The 22,671-nt window shown below is 52.5% G+C and overlaps 2 protein-coding genes across 2 annotated transcripts, besides 6 other annotated features; one reads left to right on the forward strand and one right to left on the reverse strand.

Moving 5' to 3' along the window:
* On the reverse strand, nucleotides 3,097-5,984 carry CCDC87 (coiled-coil domain containing 87). The gene has a single exon (NM_018219.3). The coding sequence runs from the start codon at nucleotides 5,934-5,936 to the stop codon at nucleotides 3,387-3,389; it is 2,550 nt and encodes an 849-aa protein (NP_060689.2). The 5' UTR covers nucleotides 5,937-5,984; the 3' UTR covers nucleotides 3,097-3,386.
* Nucleotides 4,770-5,359: an enhancer, noted in NCBI's record as "H3K4me1 hESC enhancer chr11:66359320-66359909 (GRCh37/hg19 assembly coordinates)". NCBI's record gives its function as "activates a minimal SCP1, AML or CMV promoter by ChIP-STARR-seq in naive H9 embryonic stem cells {active_cell/tissue: H9 hESC(naive)}" and the evidence as "EXISTENCE:reporter gene assay evidence [ECO:0000049][PMID:30033119]".
* Nucleotides 5,360-5,948: an enhancer, noted in NCBI's record as "H3K4me1 hESC enhancer chr11:66359910-66360498 (GRCh37/hg19 assembly coordinates)". NCBI's record gives its function as "activates a minimal SCP1, AML or CMV promoter by ChIP-STARR-seq in naive H9 embryonic stem cells {active_cell/tissue: H9 hESC(naive)}" and the evidence as "EXISTENCE:reporter gene assay evidence [ECO:0000049][PMID:30033119]".
* Nucleotides 5,360-5,970: a biological region, named in NCBI's record as "H3K4me1 hESC enhancer GRCh37_chr11:66359910-66360498".
* Nucleotides 5,511-5,570: an enhancer, noted in NCBI's record as "active region_5050". NCBI's record gives its function as "activates an Ori minimal core promoter by ATAC-STARR-seq in GM12878 lymphoblastoid cells {active_cell/tissue: GM12878}" and the evidence as "EXISTENCE:reporter gene assay evidence [ECO:0000049][PMID:35858748]".
* Nucleotides 5,741-5,850: an enhancer, noted in NCBI's record as "active region_5051". NCBI's record gives its function as "activates an Ori minimal core promoter by ATAC-STARR-seq in GM12878 lymphoblastoid cells {active_cell/tissue: GM12878}" and the evidence as "EXISTENCE:reporter gene assay evidence [ECO:0000049][PMID:35858748]".
* Nucleotides 5,881-5,970: an enhancer, noted in NCBI's record as "active region_5052". NCBI's record gives its function as "activates an Ori minimal core promoter by ATAC-STARR-seq in GM12878 lymphoblastoid cells {active_cell/tissue: GM12878}" and the evidence as "EXISTENCE:reporter gene assay evidence [ECO:0000049][PMID:35858748]".
* On the forward strand, nucleotides 6,106-18,940 carry CCS (copper chaperone for superoxide dismutase). The gene is made up of 8 exons (NM_005125.2): nucleotides 6,106-6,221; nucleotides 6,563-6,635; nucleotides 12,037-12,174; nucleotides 12,380-12,557; nucleotides 13,410-13,470; nucleotides 18,260-18,337; nucleotides 18,410-18,513; nucleotides 18,623-18,940. The coding sequence occupies exons 1-8, from the start codon at nucleotides 6,183-6,185 to the stop codon at nucleotides 18,774-18,776; spliced, it is 825 nt and encodes a 274-aa protein (NP_005116.1). The 5' UTR covers nucleotides 6,106-6,182; the 3' UTR covers nucleotides 18,777-18,940.

Consider the following 22,671-nt stretch of genomic DNA (forward strand, 5'->3'; position numbering starts at 1 on the left):
TCACTGCAACCTCCCTGCCTGATTCTCCTGCCTCAGCCTGCCGAGTGCCTGCGATTGCAGGCACGCGCCGCCACGCCTGACTGGTTTTGGTGGAGACGGGGTTTCGCTGTGTTGGCCGGGCCGGTCTCCAGCCCCTAACCGCGAGTGATCCGCCAGCCTCGGCCTCCCGAGGTGCCAGGATTGCAGACGGAGTCTCGTTCACTCAGTGCTCAATGGTGCCCAGGCTGGAGTGCAGTGGCGTGATCTCGGCTCGCTACAACCTACACCTCCCAGCCGCCTGCCTTGGCCTCCTAAAGTGCCGAGATTGCAGCCTCTGCCCGGCCGCCACCCCGTCTGGGAAGTGAGGAGTGTCTCTGCCTGGCCGCCCATCGTCTGGGATGTGAGGAGCCCCTCTGCCTGGCTGCCCAGTCTGGAAAGTGAGGAGCGCCTCTTCCCAGCCGCCATCCCATCTAGGAAGTGAGGAGCGCCTCTTCCCAGCCGCCATCACATCTAGGAAGTGAGGAGCGTCTCTGCCCGGCCGCCCATCGTCTGAGATGTGGGGAGTGCCTCTGCCCCGCGGCCCCATCTGGGATGTGAGGAGCACCTCTGCCCGGCCGCGACCCCGTCTGGGAGGTGAGGAGCGTCTCTGCCCGGCCACCCCGTCTGAGAAGTGAGGAGACCCTCTGCCTGGCAACCACCCCGTCTGAGAAGTGAGGAGCCCCTCCGCCCGGCAGCTGCCCCGTCTGAGAAGTGAGGAGCCTCTCCGCCCGGCAGCCACCCCATCTGGGAAGTGAGGAGCCCCTCCGCCCGGCAGCCACCCCGTCCGGGAGGGAGGTGGGGGGTCAGCCCCCCGCCCGGCCAGCCGCCCCGTCCGGGAGGGAGGTGGGGGGGTCAGCCCCCCGCCCGGCCAGCCGCCCCGTCCGGGAGGTGAGGGGCACCTCTGCCCGGCCGCCCCTACTGGGAAGTGAGGAGCCCCTCAGCCCGGCCAGCCACCCCATCTGGGAGGGAGGTGGGGGGGTCAGCCCCCCGCCCGGCCAGCCGCCCCATCCGGGAGGTGAGGGGGTGCCTCTGCCCGGCCGCCCCTACTGGGAAGTGAGGAGCCCCTCTGCCCGGCCAGTCGCCCCGTCTGGGAGGGAGGTGGGGGGGTCAGCCCCCCGCCCGGCCAGCCGCCCAGTCCGGGAGGGAGGTGGGGGGGTCAGCCCCCCGCCCTGCCAGCCGCCCAGTCCGGGAGGGAGGTGGGGTGGTCAGCCCCCCGCCCGGCCAGCCACCCCGTCCGGGAGGGAGGTGGGGGGGTCAGCCCCCCGCCCGGCCAGCCGCCCCGTCCGGGAGGTGAGGGGCGCCTCTGCCCGGCCGCCCCTACTGGGAAGTGAGGAGCCCCTCTGCCCGGCCAGCCGCCCCGTCCGGGAGGGAGGTGGGGGGTCAGCCCCCCGCCCAGCCAGCCGCGCCATCCGGGAGGTGAGGGGCGCCTCTGCCCGGCCGCCCCTACTGGGAAGTGAGGAGCCCCTCTGCCCGGCCACCACCCCGTCTGGGAGGTGTACCCAACAGCTCATTGAGAACGGGCCAGGATGACAATGGCAGCTTTGTGGAATAGAAAGGCGGGAAAGGTGGGGAAAAGATTGAGAAATCGGATGGTTGCCGTGTCTGTGTAGAAAGAAGTAGACATGGGAGACTTTTCATTTTGTTCTGCACTAAGAAAAATTCTTCTGCCTTGGGATCCTGTTGATCTGTGACCTTACCCCCAACCCTGTGCTCTCTGAAACATGTGCTGTGTCCACTCAGGGTTAAATGGATTAAGGGCGGTGCAAGATGTGCTTTGTTAAACAGATGCTTGAAGGCAGCATGCTCGTTAAGAGTCATCACCAATCCCTAATCTCAAGTAATCAGGGACACAAACACTGCGGAAGGCCGCAGGGTCCTCTGCCTAGGAAAACCAGAGACCTTTGTTCACTTGTTTATCTGCTGACCTTCCCTCCACTGTTGTCCCATGACCCTGCCAAATCCCCCTCTGTGAGAAACACCCAAGAATTATCAATAAAAAAATAAATTAAAAAACAAAGTGAAACCCCGTCTCTACTAAAAATAAAAAAAAATTAGCTGACCGTGATGGTGGGCACCTGTAGTCCCAGCTATTCAGGAGGCTGAGGCAGGAGAATGGCATGAACCCAGGAGGCGGAACTTGCAGTGAGCCGAGATTGCGCCACTGTACTCCAGCCTGGGCGACAGAGCGAGACTCCCTCTCAAAAGAAAAAATATATATATATACACACATATATATATACACACACACATATATATGTGTGTGTATGTGTGTGTGTATATATATATATTTGTTTTTTTTTTAAGAAACTCAAAAAATTAGCCAGGTGCAGTGGTGAGCAGCTGTAGTCCCAGCTACTTAGGAGGCTGAGGCAGGAGGATTGCTTGAGCCCAAGAGTTCAAGCTGCAGTGAGCTATGATCAGGCCACTGCACTCCAGCTTGGGCAACAGAGCAAGACCCCATCTCTAAAATTGAAAAAAAAAAAAAAATCCAGGTGCTGTAGCTCATACCTGTAATCCCAGCACTTTTGGAGGTTGAGGCAGGTGGATCGCCTGAGCTCAGGAGTTTGAGACCAGCCTGGCCAACGTGGTGAAACCCTATCTCTACTAAAAATACAAAAATGAGCCATGCGTGGTGGCAGGCGCCTGTAATCCCAGCTACTCAGGAGGCCGAGGCAGGAGAATCGCTTGAACCAGGGAGGCAGAGGTTGCAGTGAGCTGAGATTGTACCACTGCATTCTAGCCTGGGCAACAGAGTGAGACTCTGTCTCAAAAAATAAATAAATACATAAATAAAAATTAAATTAAATTTAAAAATTGTAACACTTATCCCCACAGCACGAAACAGACATTGGAGGTGGGTATGGGAAGGCTTACTTTTCAGTACACATCCTGGTATACTTTGTACCATGTGCACGTAACTGGTAAAAATTTAATTAATTTTCTTCTTCCTAATAGTGTTTGAGAACTAAAAGAGGTGACAATTTAATGTAGTGTGATAGGAATGCTAAAGTGAGTTGTTCCAAAGATCACCTTTGCCTCTGACCCTTCCCACTACAATTAACTCCAAGGTCTCAGTTCTTTTGATATAGGAGATTTGGCTTGTATTGTGCAAGGCTTGACATAATGGGACTACTAGGCTTGGGGATTCTTTCATGAGAATTTCACTAAGAAAACAATAGTTTTAGTCTCAATCCCTTCATAGTTGGAAGCATAATGTTCCTGAACCCTCCACTCCCAGATATAGACAAATATTTCTTCTTCCAAAGCAGTAAAGAGGTCTAGATGAGCTGCTGGCCATTTAGGGGTGAGGGAGGCATTTGAGGGCACTGGGCCTGGTCAAGGAGTAATAGGGGTATTCCCAGGAGCTACTAAAGGCTGGCTGCTGAGCTCCTGAACAGGGTTGACTGGTGGGGATCCTTCAGGGCCGAGACCAGGTGGCGAACCCGCCGCTGCTGTTGCAGCCAATAGAGCATCTCCACTTTGTCACTCTTCATCTTGTCCAGGTAGGGCCGCCCCTTGAAGATCACTGGCTCGCCAAAGATTAACTCTATCTCCTCCAGGAGGGAAACCAAAGAAGACTCCATTAAGTTGAGCTTCCTGTGGAGATGGCTTCGGACCTGATTCTCCTCCAGGAAGTGACTGGAGCTCAAGTTGGTCTTTTTGAAGAAGCGGTTGGGATTGGAAGCTTGTCCCTCAAACCACTCTAGTCTCGCCAGCAATGCCTCCCGCAGCTGAATGGGCTTCAGGGCCCGCTCCCAGGCATTCACCAATGAAGGCAGCTGCCTCAGGCGGGCTTTGGAGCTATATTTAATGGTCATGTCCACCTGGTCCTTGTCAGGGACCTCAAGCACAGACCACAGTTGTTCCAGATGCTTCTGCAGGCTCAGAATTTTGTGGGGTTCTCCCAGGTGGGGTGTCTTCCCAGCTCCTAGCCTGTGCTCTAGCACAGTGTTCCAATCCCACTCTCCTGGCACAAAGTCTGGTTCTTCATCTTCTAGCAATGGGGGAGGGTGCTGAATCTCTAGGGACTCTCTGGCAGGGGCCACAATCTCCACAGGAACCTCTTCTTCATGCATTTGAAAGATGACATGAAGGAAATCTGTTTCATGGTTGGTGAGGTACTTGAAGTAGTCATCCACAGACAAGGTGGTTTTCCATGAGTTCATCAAGGAGGCCTTGTTTGACCACTTCTCCCAGCTTTTGGTAGCTTGGAGTGATGGGAGGGAGGGCATCTTCTTAGTATTGGACTGTAAAGTGTTTGCTCTCTGGGAGTAAAGTCCAACCAGCTCAGGGTTGATGATTTGAGGCTGTTTTTCTTGACGTAGAAAGGCTGAGGACAGGAAGGTCGACCAGTCTTTATCTGCTGCAGGCTCAACTAGGGGCCCTTGATCAAAATGTAAGTGGTCAGAAGAGACATGGCTCATCAACTCCTTGTAGACCTCCCTGGTAGTACTGCCAACAAAGTTATCAATATCCATTTTTTCAATGGCTTTGGGATCCAGTTCACCAGCCAGATGGTTATACAGGGCTCCGGCCCCCTCAATGTGGAAAGAGTCTAAGAAGTTTCTATCAGAGACCCGTACGGCAGCCGCCTGGACCACGACCTCATTTCTAAGCTTCAAAGTAATGGTCACTGGCTGTGGGTGAAGTGGAAAGGATTTGGGGGGCTGGGGGTCCCACTGCCCAGAGGCTTCTTCCTCCTGGAGGTTCCTCAACATCTTCTCCAGCTCCTCCAGGCGATGCCCTGCAGCTGGGTGACGGGTCACAACCCCCAGGAGAGGAGGCAGGCCTGAGTCCAGTGGTGGGTAGCGAGTCCCCTCCAACTTCATCTTCTTTATCAACTGCTTCAGATCCTCAGCCACGATGAGCCCAGTCAGCTCTGGTTTGCTCTCTGTAGCCAAGACCAGCGGGGTTAAGGGGCGAGATGGGAGTGGAGGAAGGCCCAACTCATCTGCCAGCCTCCAGCCCTCACGCAGGGAGGGCATGGATTGGCCTCTCCGGAGCTCAGGGCAGAAAGGCGAGGGGGAAGCCCTGCTGGTGGGGGCCACAGGATAGCTGGGCAGCGACACCATCTGTGAGGAACTGATGTCGATTTCTCTCTTCTTTCCTATGGAGGGCAGCCAGTGGAAAGGCTTTTTCCTCTTCAACCGAGGGATGGACTTCAATTCCTTCACTGGATCCATCCTTCCTGGCTCATTGAGAAACTCTGGTGGACGGCTGAGTTGGATGAGGTAGTTCAGGTTGAGGTTAGAGCACTGCACTTGGGCGAAGCCAGTGCTGTGAGGCCAGGGGATAGGGCACAGCTTGAACGTCCCAGCGGGGCAGACAGGGTGCAGCTTGTCCACATCCCCAGAGGCCTGCTCTGCCCTCAGCAGGGCCTGGAAGTCGGCAAGCAGGCCACGGTAGACGTTGGGACTAGTAAGGAAGAGTGTGCAGTCCCTGGCGAGGCTGGCGGCCAACCGGGTGAGGGTGGCTGATTCAGTGAAGACCCCCCTGGGAGTCGACATGGTCACCAGCAGGTGCAGGTAGCGCAAGAAGAGCTGCTCGCTGCTCAGCAGCACGTAGGCCTCGAGCCGCTTCCGCAGCTTCTGGTTGTTTTTGTGGCTCAGACTAAGTTCGGCGGGCGGCTCCCGCCAGCTGCACTTCAGCTCGTCCAGGATGACCTTGATGAGACGTAGTCGGGCCTCAGGAGGCACTCCCGCTGCTATCCCGCTGCCGGCCAGCAGCTTGGCCACCTGGCTGCACAGCGACGCCACCGTCAGCTTCGCCAGAGGGAAGGACTGCAGAATCCGGCCCTCCTGCGGGGGGCGCTTCTGAGGCTCTGGGGACGTCGTCCTAGTGGGGAAGAGCGACAGCGGACGCAGCAGCCGGTGGTAAAACCGCTGGAGCTCAGGCTCGGGCTTCGGGGGCTCCATCATAGAGCCGGCGGCCGCCACCGTCCAGGAACAGAAAGCCGAGGGGTTACTAAGGCAACCAGGAGCCCGACGGCCCGAGTGCGCCTGCGCGGCCGCCACCCGGTGGCTGACGAAGCAGGGCCTTGCGTGCGCACGCACTAGGAGGAGGAGTTAAGGGTGGCTTTAGAGGCTCAGTCCCCGCGACGCCGCGCTGGTTGGTGCTCCTGCGCCGGAGGAGTTCTGCGTCTCGGGGTGGTGACTGGGTCCAGAATGGCTTCGGATTCGGGGAACCAGGGGACCCTCTGCACGGTGAGGGTCGAGGCTTCGTGTGGAGCCTCGCCGGGCAGAGAGCCTCGGCCCCTGGGATGATCGTTACCTTGGGAAGAGGAGAAGGAGTGGGCACTTGGGTTGGGGCCTGGGGCCATGGGATGAAACTAGGGTGCGAGGGTAGCAGGGGCCCTGCGTGAGTGTTGGGGGGTGACTCCCATGGTCCTGGAATGGTCATGAGAGATCATGAAGAAGGTGCTTGAAGAGGGGTTAAGTGGGGCTTGTTCCCAGACCCTTGCGGTGGTCATAGGGTAGGTGGTGAAACAAAGTCATACCAAGGCACTTCCCCAGCGATCATCGGTTGGTCCCTGCCGCCCTTGCAGTTGGAGTTCGCGGTGCAGATGACCTGTCAGAGCTGTGTGGACGCGGTGCGCAAATCCCTGCAAGGGGTGGCAGGTAAGAACAGGGTAAACTTTTCTGCAGACAGTCCAGAAGCCTCTGGGAGGGACCAGGCGAATCTATTAGGCGAACCCTACTCCCATTTTACAGATGCAGAAAGTGAACCCCAGAGAGTGAAAGGCATGTTCTCAGAGTTACACACAGACCTGGAGGCAGAGCCTAGAGTACAGCTGTCCAGCTTGCCCTGACAGATTCTAACTGCCTGTCTTGTTGTCCTGAACCTCAGGTGCCCCAGAGACTGAGGAGCTAGGCTGAGGGAGTTCCTGGGAAAACAGGCAGTTTTTGCTTGGGAAACAACATAATCTTGACAAAGCAAACAGCAGCTCAGGCCCTATACCATCCTGGGTAGCTTTCTATACCACTGGGTGTGGTGGCTCATGCCTGTAATCCCAGCACTTTGGGAGGCCGAGGTGGGTGGATCACCAGGTCAGGAGATCGAGACCATCCTGGCTAACACAGTTAAATCCTGTCTCTACTAAAAAATACAAAAAATTAGCCGGGCGTGGTGGTGGGCGCCTGTAGTCCCAGCTACTTGGGAGGCAGAGGCAGGAGAATGGCGTGAACCCGGGAGGCGGAGCTTGCAGTTAGCCGAGATCGCGCCACTGCACTCTAGCCTGGGCAACAGAGTGAGACTCCGTCTCAAAAAAATAATAATAATAAATAAAAGGCCAGCTGGTCTGGAGGTGACCTGGCACAATGAGAAAGATCTGGAAAGGTAGAGCCACCAGCATGGCTCTGGGAACTGGCTTCCTTTGATTCTGTTAAGTGTTTATCCAGGCCAGGCTCAGTGGCTCACGCCTGTAATCCCAGCACTTTGGGACACCAAAGTAGGTAGATTGCTCAAGTCCATGAGTTTGAGAGCAGCCTGAGCAACATGGCGAAAACCCTCCTCTATAAAATATACAAAAATTAGCTGGGCGTCATGGTGCACTCCTGTAGTCCCAGCTACTGGGGAGGCCAAAGCAGGAGGATTGCTTGAGTCCAGGAGGTGGAGGCTGCAGTGAGTTGGATCGCTCCACTGCACTCCAGGCTGGGTGACAGAGTGAGACCCTCTCTCAAAAAAAAAAAAAAAAAAAACAAGTTCACCCAGTCATTCGGCAGGTATGGACCAGACACTGGGGCTTTTTAGGGAGAAGAGTTCACATGGGTATCAGGCACATCCCCTGCACTCAGGTGGAAATGAGCATGCAAGCGTTGCCTGGATGGCATTCGCAGAATGCTTCGTGGAAAGAGCAATGGTGAGAGGGAATGAGATAAGATGGCTTCTGAAGCTGGGACCCTGGTAGTGGTGGACTCTGTAAAGTGATTAGGGGTATGAGCTCTAGAGTTCAAACCCCCTCTTTGCCACTTAATGGCACTAAGACTTCATGCATGTTACTTTTTGTGTCTCTGTTTCTTCTGTGTTAAATGGGGGATGATAATAGAAGCTAATCTGGAGGATTGTCCTGAAGAGTAACCGAGTTAATACAAAAAAAGCATTTAGAAAAGTCTTTGGCATGTAATAACAGCCCAGTAAATCCTAGGGGATTATGAGAAGAAGGGCTTACAGGTGGTGATCTGGATGGAAGGAGGCTGGAGGGGACAATGTTGAAGCTGGGTTTGCTTAGACTACGCGTTTTGGGTGGTGAATGGGCCCTCCACTTCCTGTACTACTTGCTTGCGAGGAGAGCAGACAGCTGGCCTTTCTCTTGGACCCGGAGCAGTTTTCAGCCCTCAGCATGTTTCTTAGGCAACAGATAAAGACTTCTGGTGACTCTGTGTTTTCTGGTCCGGCTTGGCTTTCTCATGGGGCCAGGGAGGGAAGCTGTAGTTTTCTAGAATACACACACACAGAGAAAGAGAGTTGCCATCTCAGGAGGCCTGGGGGAAGGCCTTCTCAGGAGGTAAGCAGGAGGATCCCCCAGCCCAAGGCTCACCCCCTTGAATCTCTATCACTTGCCCTGGTGTTCTCTGTGGCCTTCTGTTTTCTCTCTCACTGGGCTCTGAGCCAACCAAGGGTGGGCCTGGCTACATTCCAGGGTCTACCAGTCTTAACTCAAGGAGCAAACTGAATGGCTGCTTGGCTAAGGTACCAGCCTCCCTCTTGGTTTAGACTCAGTCAATAATTCAGGAGGTACATAGTGACAAGGAACTTCCCACTTCAGGAGCAGAGAATCAGCTCTTCTCTGGAGACCTGAGGGTCTGGGAACCCTCCTATGCTGAGGCCTGTCATCAGGACATCTTATCTGCTATGTGTCCAAAACATACTTAGGCCTCCACACTGCTCCAGGCCACCCCACCTCTCCCTAGCCTGTGTAAGAACCTCATCCTTTGATGGGTTCCCCATTGCTTCTGTTGCCCCCTCTAATAGCTTTTGCACATAAAAGCCAGGGTCTTGTTCTGCTCTGTTGCCCAGGCTGGAGTGCGGTGGCACCATCTCAGCTCACTGCAACCTCCACCTCCCGGTTCATTTGATTCTCCCACCTCAGCCTCCTGAGTAGCTGGGATTACAGGTGTGCACCACCATGCCTGGCTAATTTTCATACTTTTACTAAAGATGGAGTTTTGCCATGTTGGCAAGGCTAGTATCGAACTCCTGGCCTCATGTGATCCACCTGCCTCAACCTCCCAAAGTGCTGGGATTATGGGTGTGCGCCACCACGCCTGGCCATCTGACAACTGACTTTTTTTTTTTTTTTTTGAGACGGAATCTCGCTCTGTTGCCCAGGCTGGAGTGCAGTGGCGCAATCTCGGCTCACTGCAAGCTCCGCCTCCCGGGTTCATGCCATTCTCCTGCTTCAGCCTCCTGAGTAGCTGGGACTACAGGCGCCCGCCACCATGCCCGGCTAACTTTTTAGTATTTTTAGTAGAGATGGGGTTTCACCGTGTTAGCCAGGATGGTCTCGATCTCCTGACCTTGTGATCCACCCACCTTGGCCTCCCAAAGTGCTGGGATTACAGGCATGAGCCACCGCGCCCGGCCGACAACTGACTTTTGAACTTGACCCTTGTGGACCTCACAGAGCTCCTGCCCTCACAGAGCTGGCGGCCTAGGAGTGAAACAGGATTGTAGTCAGTGCAATGTGAATTACAGGAGGGGGAGTGTGAGCTGCTACAGGACCACAAGGGGTGTGGTCCTAACCCAGCTTGGAGCCTAAGGGCTGCTTCCTAGGGTGAGTACAATATCTGGGTTAAGTGCTGGGGCTCTGGAGCTAGGCTGCATGGTCAGAGGTCCAGTTGCACAACTTACTACAGTGCGACTTTGAGCAAGTTTCTTCATCTTTCTGTGCCTCAGTTTTCTCATCTGTAAAATGGGGATCATTGTACCTAACTTAGAGGCTTAGTAGGAGTACCAAATATGTTAAGACAGGTAAAACACAGGATTCGCTCACCGTCCATGCCCAGTAAGTGTTAGCTCTACTAATGATGGCAATAGTCCCTGCCTTTTATGTGTGTAATAGCTTTATTAAGATATAATTCGGCTGGGCGCAGTGGCTCACACCTGTAATTCCAGCACTTTGGGAGGCTGAGGCAGGCAGATCATGAGGTGAGGAGATCGAGACCATTCTGGCTAACACGGTGAAACCCTGTCTCTACTAAAAACACAAAAAATCAGCTGGGCGTGATGGCGGGCACCTGTTGTCCCAGCTACTCGGGAGGCTGAGGCAGGAGAATGGCTAGAACCCAGGAGGTGGAGCTTGCAGTGAGCCGAGATTGTGCCACTGCACTCCAGCCTGGGTGACAGAGCGAGACTCCATTTCAAAAAGAAAAAAAGGCCAGGTGTGGTGGCTCATGCCTGTATTCCCAGCACTTTGGGAGGCCAAGGCGGGCAGATCACGAGGTCAGGAGATTGAGACCATCCTGGCTAACACGGTGAAACCCCGTCTTTACTAAAAATACAAAAAATTAGCCGGGCTTGGTGGCGGGCGCCTGTAGTCCCTGCTACTCGGGAGGCTGAGGCAGGAGAATGGCGTGAACCCAGGAGGTGAAGCTTGCAGTGAGCCCAGATGGCGCCACTGCACTCCAGCCTGGGCGACAGAGTGAGACTCTGTCTCAAAAAAAAAAAAAAGATATAATTCATAGGCTGGGCAGCTAGGCACAGTGGCTCACGCCTGTAATTCCAGCACTTTGGGAGGCTTGCTTGAACCCAGGAGGCAGAGGTTGCAGTGAGCCAAGATTATGCCACTGCTCTCCAGCCTAGGTGACAAAGCGAGACTCCATCTTGAAAATAAAAAAAGATATAATTCATGTACTATAAAAATCACCCATTTAGGCCAGGCGCAGTGGCTCACGCCTGTAGTCCCAACAGTTTGGGAGGCTGAGGTTGCAGTGAGCCGAGATTGTGCCATTACACTCCAGCCTGGGTGACACAGCGAGACTCTGTCTCAAAAAAAAAAAAAGAAAAAAAATTCACCCATTTAAAGGATACAGTTCATCTGTTTGTAGTATTTTCAGAGTTGTACAACCATCTCTCCACTGTCAGTTTTACATTTTTATCACTTCATAAAGAAATCCTAGGCCACAGCCAGGCGTGATGGCTCATGCCTGTAATCTCAGTACTTTGGGAGACTGAGGCAGGCAGATGACCTGAGGTCAGGAGTTCGAGAGCAGCCTGGCCAACATGGTGAAACCCCATGTCTACTAAAAGAAAAAAATACAAAAAAATTAGCTGGGCATGGTGGTGGTGTGTGCCTGTAGTCCCTGCTACTCGGGAGGCTAAGGCAGGAGAATCGCTTGAACCCGGGAGATGGAGGTTTCAGTGAGCTGAGATCGTGCCACTGCACTCCAGCCTGAGCAACAGAGAGAGACTCTGTTTCAAAAAAAAAAAAATATTTTTTAAGCTATCTCCTACAGGAAGAATATTTTCTGTTTGTGGATTTGCCTATTCTAGATATCTAATATACATGGCATTATATATGTGGCTTTGTGACTGGCTTTCTTGTAGCATAATGTTTCAAGGTCCGTCCATGTTGTAGCATGTATCAGCACTTCGTTCCTGAATAGTATTTCATTGTATGGATACCACATTTTATCTGTTCATTAGTTGATGGGCATTTGGGTTATTTTTATCTTTTGGCTATTGTGAATAATGCCACTATGGATAGCCCACTTAAAAAAAAAACAAAACACTGCTTTAAAAAGAATGATGTATGTTTCCAAAGTTATAAATAATGCCTGGCGTGTATTAGAACTCACAGAAATCCTGGGGGCAAGGTGGCATTATCCCCATTTATATGAAAAGAGACAGACTCAGAAGTGAAGAGGCTTACTCAGGGTTACACAGTTACGAAGTAGCTTGCCTCTGACCATGGGAAGTTTGGTGGAAATGGGGATGGAGAATTGCTGTCTGTTTTTCTGTTCCCTGCTGCCAGCACTGGGTGCCAGCCTCTGTTGCCCTCTTCCCTCTCTTTCTTGCCAGGTGTCCAGGATGTGGAGGTGCACTTGGAGGACCAGATGGTCTTGGTACACACCACTCTACCCAGCCAGGAGGTGCAGGCTCTCCTGGAAGGCACGGGGCGGCAGGCGGTACTCAAGGGCATGGGCAGCGGCCAGTTGCGTGAGTGACCACTGTGGCCTTGGCCCCTCTCGGAGGGAGGTGGCTCAGAGCTGGTACAAATCTAATCATAGGATTCTCAGGCTCTGGGTTGGAGTGGCTTTGAGGAAGGTGTGAAAATTATGTGAGACTCCCTGCCCTTCCCGAGCTGCTGAAGAGGTGTGCTGGGTGAGGTGGCAAGCCAGCCCAAGTGTCTAATACCTTGCAGAGAATCTGGGGGCAGCAGTGGCCATCCTGGGGGGGCCTGGCACCGTGCAGGGGGTGGTGCGCTTCCTACAGCTGACCCCTGAGCGCTGCCTCATCGAGGGAACTATTGACGGCCTGGAGCCTGGGCTGCATGGACTCCACGTCCATCAGTACGGGGACCTTACAAACAACTGCAACAGGTGAGTTGTCTGAAGTCTCCCCAGTAGCATTCTCAGCTACACATTTTCACACTGGGCCCTCACCAATACTCTGTGAGGCACATACACACAGGCACAACCTCCAGATGAGGAAACTGAGGCTCACAGAGGTTAAATGACTTGCCAAAGGTCCACAGCAGGTAAAAGGTAGAGTTGGGGTTTGAGTCAAGATCTGACCTTGGCTGGGCACAGTAGCTCACACCTGTAATCTAGCACTTTGGGAGGCTGAGGTGGGCGGATCACCTGAGGTCAGGAGTTCAAGACCAGCCTGGCCAACATGGTGAAACCCCATCTCTACTAACAATACAAAAAAAAATTAGCCAGGTGCAGTGGCATGTGCCCATAATCCCAGCTACTAGGGAGGCCCGTAATCTCCTGAGGCAGGAGAATCACTTGAACTCAGGAGGTGGAGGTTGTGGTGAGCTGAGATTGCACCACGGCACTCCAGCTCAGGGGTGACAGGGCAAAACTCTGTCTCAAGAAAAAAAATAAAATCTGATCTTGAAGGTCCTGCTTATAACCACCTTACTGCCTCTGAGATGGAAGGGGACTTCTGGACACAGCAAAGGAAGGGTCCCCATGCCATGGTGTTTGTCATGCTGTGATATAACTAGTTGTTTACTCATCTGTGAGTCCCCTGAGCCAGAAGCTTATTCAGGACAGGACCCATGTCTGATTCTTCTCGGTGCCCTCTACCCAAAGCCCAGCACAGAGTAGGCCTGTTTGTTGAATGAATGAATGAATGAATGAATGAAGCAAATATAAATAGATGAGAGGGTAGAGCACCTGGCCTGTGAGCTGCTTTCCTGCCCACCTGTTTCCTTTCTTTCTTAGCTGTGGGAATCACTTTAACCCTGATGGAGCATCTCATGGGGGCCCCCAGGACTCTGACCGGGTAAGTGTCTGTCTGGGTTTGGGCTTGGGCTGAGAGAGGACCCAAAGTCTCAGAGGCAGGGCAGGCAGCTCTTGGGATCATAACAGTGTGATTCCTTTTTGGTGGAGTCTTTTCCTCTCATTTTATTTTGCTGAGTTTGGAAACATTTGTTGACACTTTCTGTGATCAAGGCCCAGGGGATACAATAGATTACAGCCCCAGTGCCTGACCCAAGGAGCACACAGTCTCTGGGGGAGATTACTGAATTCCATGGTTTCCAGGCAGTGAGATCATCCTTGCAGGAGCCTGCAAGAGGTCCTGGAGCCCACAGTGAATAGTTCATCTGCCTGAGGGGCAGGGGCAGTGGGAGGAAGTGAAATATGGAAGTTGAGGGTTTTACCTAAACTGAAAAGGCTGTCCCTGGTGTTCCCTAACACCCCGGTCCTGGAGTTTCATTTTTCAGCAGAGAATCATTTCCCAATCTTCAGGGAATTGTGTGTTGCCTTAATGATTTTTGCCTTATCTGAGTACTAGTTGTATTTTTAGTTACTCAATCATTTGGTTTTTTTATTTTATTTTCTGAGATGGAGTTTTGTTCTTATTGCCCAGGCTAGAGTGCAATGGCGCAGTCCCAGCTCATTGCAACCTCCGCCTCCCAAGTTCAAACGATTCTCCTGCCTCAGCCTCCCTAATAGCTGGGACTACAGGTGCACACCACCACACCCGGGTAATTTTTGTATTTTTAGTAGAGATGGGGTTTCACCAGGTTGGCCAGGCAGTCTTGAACTCCTGACCTCAAGTGATCCACCCACCTCAGCCTCCCAAAGTGCTGGGATTACAGGCGTGAGCCACTGTGCCCGGCTCTGACTGGGCTATTTTCTATCTTGATGGGTTTGCAACCTTGTGCCACAAAACAATTGAAACCATGGTATGTGTTGCTTAATGCATGTTACTGATTTTTTGGACTTTTCACAGCTCTGTTACCTATCATGCTTTTCTTTTCTTCTGTTTCTTTTCCTTTTCCTTTCTCCCCTCCCCTCCCCTCCCCTCTCCTTTCCGAGATAGGATCTCACTCTGTTGCCCATGCTGGAGTGCAGTGCTGTGATCATGGCTCACTACAGCCTTGAACTCATGGGCTCAAGCAATCCTCCCACCTCACCTGATAGCTGGGACCACAAGCATGTACCATTATGCCCAGCTAATTTTTTTTTTTTGTTTTTTTGGTGGTAGAAATAGGGTGTCACTATGTTCCTCAGGCTGGTCTCAAACTGCTGGGCTTGAGCAGACCTCCCTCCTCGGCCTCCCAGTGTTAGGATTATGAGCATGAGCCAGCATGCCTGGCCTCTGCCACATTTTTTTTTTTTCTTTTTCTTTTTTTTATTTTTAGTAGAAACGAGGTTTTGCCATGTTGGCCAGGCTGGTCTTGAAGTCCCAACCTCAAGTGATCCGCCTGCCTTGGCCTCCCAAAGTGCTGGGATTACAGGCATGAGCCACTGTGCCCAACCACCCTGTCACATTTCTAATGATCAAAAGTTTTTACTCCCTGTTCTGGGAAATTGGAGAGGCATTTCTTATAGAGTCCATTGCACAGTGCCATGCTTATGCTCAGTGATTAGTAATCTGCTGCTGCAAATCAAATGACTCCAAAGTTAGGAGTTTAAAACAACAAACATATACTGTCTCTGGGGCAGGAATTTGTGTGTGACTTAGCTGGGTGCCTGCAGCTCAGGGTCTCTCTCGGGGCTGCAGTCATCTCAGGGCCCCACGTGGGGAGAATCTGCTTCCAGGTTTGCTCATGTTGCTGTTGGCAGGCCCCAGGTCCTCCTTGGCTGTTGGCCAGAGACATCAGTTCTTTGCCACATGGGTCTCTCCCTAGGGCAGCTAACAACACGGCAGTTGGCTTCTCTCAGAGTGAATGAGCGAGAGAGAGAGAGATTGAGATTGAGAGAGGGCGTCCAAGACTCAAGCCACATTCTTTTTGTAACCTAATCTTAGAAGTGACACTAGGTCCAGCCCACACTCAAGGGAGGCACATCATAGAGGCCATTCGCCTCATGCAGCCTTGAAAGATGATGGGCAGGAAGTAGGCATTGAAGAGGGTAAGAGTGGGATTGGCAAGCCCAGCAAAAGAAACTGCCCGGGCAAAGCCCTCAAGGCATGGAATGGCAGGGAGTGTTTCTGAAGGGCAGGAGCCTGTCTTGTGACCTGTGTTTTCTTCCTGGGCCCCAGGTGGGGCAGGGAATCAGAAGGGGCTGGCATCAGCAGCTGTACCTCACCCAATCCCTTAACTTAGACAAGGAAGAACTGAGCAGGAGCTGACCAGCCAAGGCCACGGTGACTGGCAAGTTGCTGTTGGGTTTTAGCATCTGCTTTTCCCAGGTGGAAAAGAATTCCATGTGGGAATTTGCATTCAAGCCTGGTTGTCCCTTGCACATCTCCTAACTGATCTCTAAGCTCCCTTCTGTTCTCTCCTCACCCTGCTCCAGTCTTTACTTTTCATAGACTGCACTAGAAGGATTGTTCTGAAGCCTGGAGTAACCAGGCCATGCCCCTGCCTGAAACTTGTCTTGGCTCCCAGTGCCTGAGAGTACAAGCTGGGCCTAGCTTCTTGATGTGGACATTCAATACCCCACTCCCCCTGCCTATTGCCCCTGCCTGTGTGCTGAGGAAACAGCCTGGAAAGGCTGCCTTTCCCTGAACTCCTGCTGGGTCATGCCTCCAGCCACACTGTCCAGGCTGCCCCCTGCCTTGAGGCCGCTCCTCCAGCCGGGCACAGTGGCTCACGCCTGCAACCCTAGCACTTTGGGAGGCCGAGGCAGACGGATCACTTGAGTTCAGGAGTTCGAGACCAGGCTGGCCAATATGGTGAAACCCTGTCTCTACTAAAAATACAAAAATTAGGCCAGGTGCAATGGCTCATGCCTGTAATCCCAGCACTTTGGGAGGCTGAGGCGGATGGGTCACTTGAGGTCAGGAGTTTGAGATCAGCTTGACCAACATGGTGAAACCCTGTCTCTATTAAAAATACAAAAGTTGGGCCGGGCACAGTGGCTCATGCCTGTAATCCCAGCACTTTGGGAGGCCGAGGCGGGCAGATCACAAGGTCAGGAGATCGAGACCATCCTGGTTAACATTGTGAAACCCCGTCTCTACTAAAAATACAAAAAATTAGCCAGGCGTGGTGGCGGGCGCCTGTAGTCCCAGCTACTTGGGAGGTTGAGGCAGGAGAATAGCGTGAACCTGGGAGGCGGAGCTTGCAGTGAGCCGAGGTCGCGCCACTGCACTCCAGCCTGGGCGACAGAGCAAGACTCCATCTCAACAAAACAAAACAAAACAAAACAAAACAAAAGTTGGCCAGGTATGGTGGCGTGCTCTGTAGTCACAGCTACTCGGGAAGCTGAGACAGGAGAATTGCTTGAACCTGGGGGGTGGGGAGGTTGCAGTGAGCCCAGATCGCACCACTGCACTCCAGCCTGGGCAACAGAGTGAGACTCTGTCTCAATAAATAAATAAATAAATAAATAAATTAATTAATTAAAAGAAATACAAAAACTAGCCAGGCGTAGTGGCGCGTGCCTGTAATCTCAGCTACTTAGGAGGCTGAGGCAGGAGAATTGCTTGAACCCGGGAAGCAGAGACTGCAGTGAGCCGAGATCACACCATTGCATTCCAGCCTGGGCATTGCAATGAGACTTTGTATCAAAACAAAACAAAACAAGCAAAAAAAACCGCTCTTCAGGGCTCTGTATCCCCTCCCCCTTCTTGATCTTTCTACTGTTCAAATCTCCAACGCAGGGCGTAAAAAAAAGTACCAGGTGCAGGCAGCAGATATCCCTCTGGAAAACGAGATAAAGCAGAACTGCCACTTCTTCCTGCCCATCAGTTGGTGGCACAGTGAGATGCCTGGTTACTCAGCAGCAAGGTCATGGGAGCCCACCTGTACTGGCACAGGCACTTGTTTCTGCCCAAAATGTCAGGTTGGGGACAATTTATTTGCACAGATGTGGGTTTCTGTGGCTCACTAGTAAGGCCTTGTCACCCCAAAACACACCAACTGTTGTATTCACCCTGTGTGTCATCACCCCTAGTCTGTTCTGTATCTGGGCCCCCACCATGTTCTGAGTCCCTTGAGGATGGTGACCTGCATACTCCCTGCCATGTTGGGTAGTGTGTCTGACCTAGGAGGTGCTCATAGGTGTGTTATGACAATTTTTATTACCGTCAAAGGAGAAGGAGGGCAGAGCCAGCTTCGAGGGGCTAGGACAGGCCCTTTGCCCCTTGCATTTCCTTCTGTTCCTGGAATCTGGGAGTCAGGGAAATGACACTGGCTGCCTATGATGGTCAGGGAAGCCAAGCTTGGCCAACTTAAGCCTATAGGAATTGAAGACAGCCAAGGGCTCACAGAGCCATCAGGAGGCTGCACAACTGAGCTAACTGGAGGCTGAGAAGCAGAGCTGGGCAATTGCCTCGCCGGAAAAACAGTCTGATCCAATGGGAATGACTGCACAGGCAGGGGAAACTTCCACTGGCTCTTTTCAGCCCACTGTCATCCTGCCCAGGATTTCAGTTCCAGGGAGGGAGTGTTCAGATGGTCCGGGACTTCCTGGACCACTTTCCACTTCCAGACAGGGCCAAGAGGACCTTGCCTGCCCAGTCCTTGGGGAGCTCAGATCCTACGAGACTGGTACCCACAGGAGGAAATGGGTACTTTAGGGAAGCAGGAAGAGGCGTCGGAATCAGGAAATCAGAAGATAGCAGCTTGGCACCACGTGGCACACATCCCCTATACACACACTGGATCTCATTCCAGCACCGCGGAGACCTGGGCAATGTCCGTGCTGATGCTGACGGCCGCGCCATCTTCAGAATGGAGGATGAGCAGCTGAAGGTAAGGTGGAAAAGAAGGTGGGCACCCTTCCTAACAGGGTCCATCATCTGAAGCTGTCGTCTCCCCTCAAAGGTGTGGGATGTGATTGGCCGCAGCCTGATTATTGATGAGGGAGAAGATGACCTGGGCCGGGGAGGCCATCCCTTATCCAAGATCACAGGGAACTCCGGGGAGAGGTGAGTGGTGTCGGCCCCTGTAGGAGGCTGTGCTCTGCGGATGGTGCATGAGGAACCCAGGGGTGGGGGCCAAACAGGTACCCACCCCTGACCACACATTCTTCTGCAGGTTGGCCTGTGGCATCATTGCACGCTCCGCTGGCCTTTTCCAGAACCCCAAGCAGATCTGCTCTTGCGATGGCCTCACCATCTGGGAGGAGCGAGGCCGGCCCATCGCTGGCAAGGGCCGAAAGGAGTCAGCGCAGCCCCCTGCCCACCTTTGAGCAGGACCTCACCTTGGCTCTGTTGCTGTCCTCCAGGGCGAGCACTTTCCACTTCCAGAGGGGGCCAGAGGGACTTTGCCTGCCCAGTCTTTGGAGAGCTCAGTACAGGGCAGGAGCTGCTGTGGTGTTCCCTTGGCAAATGAAAGTTTTATTTTCGTTTGGGACTTGGTGTTTTGTGCTTGTCTCCATGCCCCTTATGGGCTTGGTGAACATAGCTCTGCTTCTTTCCTTTGTATCAGGGCCACCCCTTAGCATTGGAGCCAAACAAACCTGAATTCAAACCTACACACACACTGAAGTCCCCATCTTCCTCCTTGGAGCCATAATGAAGAGCCACTACAGTCAAATTTCTGTTTGTGGCCTCCCCCAACCCCTCACTATGGCTGATTGGAACCAAAATGGACACCTGACCCATGGTGGCCCATGCTTTCCCTGAGAAATCAGGGCAGATCCAGCTTTAGTTTTTTCCTGTGGTTGGACCCATAACATGGGAATATGGGAAGTTTTGGTGGCCCTCTTCTCCCTGCCTTATTGACTGAGCATCAGAAAAAGCCAGTCGGCTAAGGAGGAAAAATGAGGCAGGGAGAATCTAAGAGTTGCTGGAGAATCCCAGTCACTCTGGAGTCCCCTCTCTGAGCCTTTCGTGAGGCCAGCTGCCTCCTGCCTGGGATTGAAGAGATGCTCCCGAATCCTCCTAATGCATCCCCCTGTTAAAATAATCTGGCTTGAGGCTGGGCACGGTAGCTCACACCTGTAATCCCAGCACTTCGGAAGGCCAAGGCGGGAGGATCTCTTGAGCCCAGGAGTTTGAGACCAGCTGGGGGAACAGAGTAAGACCCTGTCTCTACAAAAAAAAAAAATTTAATTAGCTGGGTGTGATGGTGCATGCTTGTGGTCCCAGCTATTTGGGAGGCTGAGGTGGGAGGATTGCTTCAGCCTGGGAGGTTGAGGCTGCAGTGAACCATGATCACGCCACTGCATTCCAGCCTGGGCAACAGAGCAAGACTCCATCTCAAAAAAAAAACAAAACCAAAAACAAACAAACAAAAATCTGACTTTATTCCTTTCAGTCATAAGTAAAAATTATCAATTAACATAAGTGAAGTGCTTGGCACACAGCCTGTCATATAAAGTTAAGGGAGCAGCAGCTATGATTCTGAGGCTGCGTGGGACCCTCGGAGGCAGCCCTAGCCAAGCTCCCCTTTCCTATGGTTGGATGAGCTGCTAACCAGGGTACAGTTTGTGGGGCCTCGGGTTCAGAGCCTCCCTACTCGTCTATTATTTCCCTGTACCCCCATCCCCATGGGGTGCCTTGCTCATCCTTGACAAAGCTGCTTTTATGACAGGGTAAGCTGGCAGACTACAAACTTTGCCCCAAGCTGGCAGACTACAAACGTTGTCCCTACACTGCCTGCTTGGAACTGGGTGGGTGGTTTCGCAGTTAGTTGTCCTTGGCTTCGAGGCAGAGCCCCTGGCTCGGATCCCATTCCCCAGTCCCTGTCTGTTTTCCCTTTCAAGGCTGTGGGTGGGTTCCACCTCTAGCCCCAACCCTTGGACTCTGCTCTTTCTTGCCAAACCTATGCTGGTTCTTTTCCAGCTCCCTGTGGTTGCTGGGAGCCAAACCCTTTTAAGCCCAGACTCAGGCTGTCTTTCCCCACTTCCAAGTCATTGCAGAAATTCATCCTGGATTCTGCCCACAGCTAACCCCTGACATCCTCTCACCTCCATTCTGGAATGATGCCTGGGTTTTAACCTTTTTAAGCCTAAACGGTTCACCATGACACGACTCTATTAGCCTCTTTTTTTTTTTTTTCCTTTTTTTGAGACAGAGTTTCACTCTGTTGCCCAGGCTGGAGTGCAGTGGTGCAATCAAGACTCACTGCAGGGTGGATGCAGTGACTCACGCCTGTAATACCAGCACTTTGGGAGGCCAAGGTGGGTGGATCACTTGAGGTCAGGAGTTTGAGACCAGCCTGGCCAACATAGCGAAACCCCATCTCTACTAAAAATACAAAAGTTAGCCAGGTGTAGTGGGATTACAGTGCCTGAAATCCCATCTACTTATGAGGCTGAGACAGGAGAATTGCTTGAACCCAGGAGGCAGAGGTTGCAGTGAACCGAGATCACACCACTGCACTCCAGCCTGGGTGACAGAACCAGACTCTTATCTCAAAAAAAAAAAGGAGATCGGCCAGACGTGGTGGCTCACACCTGTAATCCCAGCACTTTGAGAGGCCAAGGCGGGCGGATCACAAGGTCAGGAGATGGAGACCATCCTGGCTAACAGGGTGAAACCCCGTCTCTACTAAAAATACAAAAACTTAGCCAGGCATGGTGGCGGGTACCTGTAGTCCCAGTTACTTGGGAGGCTGAGGCAGGAGAATGGCGTGAACCCGGGAGGTGGAGCTTGCAGTGAGCCGAGATGGTGCCACTGCACTCCAGCCTGGGCAACAGAGCGAGACTCCGTCTCAAAAAAAAAAAAAAAAAAAAGATCAACATCCTCATTAGCTTTTCTTCTGAACTTCTGGCTGTGTGGTTTTTCAAAGTTTATTTTTAAATCACAGGACACTGTTCAAACATCTTGAAGCCTCATTTGCAAAGCAGAAGTGGAACTGCAGGCAAAGATGCTCTGTTTTGGCCAGGAACAGTGGCTCATGCCTGTAATCCCAGCACTTTGGGAGGCCAGGGCAGGAGGACTGCTTGAAGCTAGTTAGAAACCAGACTAGCGAAGAAAGCAACACCCTGTCTCTACAAAAAATAATTTAAAAGGCCGGGCGCGGTGGCTCACGCCTGTAATCCCAGCACTTTGGGAGGCCGAGGTGGGCGGATCACGAGGTCAGGAGATCGAGACCATCCTGGCTAACATGGTGAAACCCCGTCTCTACTAAAAATACAAAAAATTAGCTGGGTGTGGTGACACGTGCCTGTAGTCCCAGCTACTCGGGAGGCTGAGGCAGGAGAATGGTGTGAACCCGGGAGGCGGAGTTTGCAGTGAGTGGAGATCGCGCCACTGCACTCCAGCCTGGGCGAGAGAGCAAGACTCTGTCTCAAAATAATAATAATAATAATAATAATAATAATAATAATAATGATAATAACTTAAACATTAGCTGAGTGTGGTGGCACAGGCTTATGGTCCCAGCTACTTAGGAGCCTGAGGCAGGAGGATTGCTTGTGCCTAGGAGTGTGCAGCGGCAGTGAGCCATGGTCACGCCACTCTGCTCCAGCCTGCTTGAGAGAGTAAGACCTTGTCTCTAAAAAAATAAAAATAATTAAAAAAAAAGAGGCCTTTAATCCCAGCAGTTTGGGAGGCCAAGATGGGAGGATTGCTTGATCCCAGGAGGTCAAGGTTGCAGTGAGCCATGATTGTGCCACTGCACTCCAGCCTGGGGGACAGAGTGAGACCCTGTCTCAAAAATAAATCAATAAATGAAAAGGAAAATTTAAGTCCAAGATGGGAAGATTACTTGAGGCCAGGAGTTCGAGACCAACTTGGGCAACATAGCAAGAACCCCATCTCCAAAAAAAAATTTTTTTTTTTTTTGAGATGGAGTTTCTCTCTTGTTGCCCAGGCTGGAGTGCAGTGGGGTGATCTCGGCTCACTGCAACCTCCACCTCCTGGGTTCAAGCGATTCTCCTGCCTCAGCATCCCGAGTAGCTGGGACTAAAGAAAGGTGCATGCCACCACGCCCGGCTAATTTTTTGTATTTTTAGTAGAGATGGGTTTTCATCATGTTAGCCAGTTCCTGACCTTGTGATCCGCCCGCCTTGGCCTCCCAAAGTGCTGGGATTACAGGTGTGAACCACCACACCCGGCCTATACCTCCATATTTTTAAATAACATGACTGTGTCATTGTTTCTTATTTTCAGTCTTGATATTGTCTGTGGAATTCT

This window comes from Homo sapiens, chromosome 11, assembly GCF_000001405.40.
Source record: "Homo sapiens chromosome 11, GRCh38.p14 Primary Assembly".
In the NCBI taxonomy this organism is placed as follows: Eukaryota; Metazoa; Chordata; class Mammalia; order Primates; family Hominidae; genus Homo; species Homo sapiens.

Excerpts from the sequence above, each read along its gene's own strand:
- CCDC87 (NM_018219.3), bottom strand. The coding sequence starts at position 5,936 with ATGATGGAGCCCCCGAAGCCCGAGCCTGAGCTCCAGCGGTTTTACCAC.
- CCS (NM_005125.2), top strand. The coding sequence starts at position 6,183 with ATGGCTTCGGATTCGGGGAACCAGGGGACCCTCTGCACG. Across the intron at positions 6,222-6,562 it reads ACCAGGGGACCCTCTGCACG|TTGGAGTTCGCGGTGCAGAT; the intron begins GTGAGGGTCGAG and ends CCGCCCTTGCAG. Across the intron at positions 13,471-18,259 it reads GCCCCCAGGACTCTGACCGG|CACCGCGGAGACCTGGGCAA; the intron begins GTAAGTGTCTGT and ends ATCTCATTCCAG.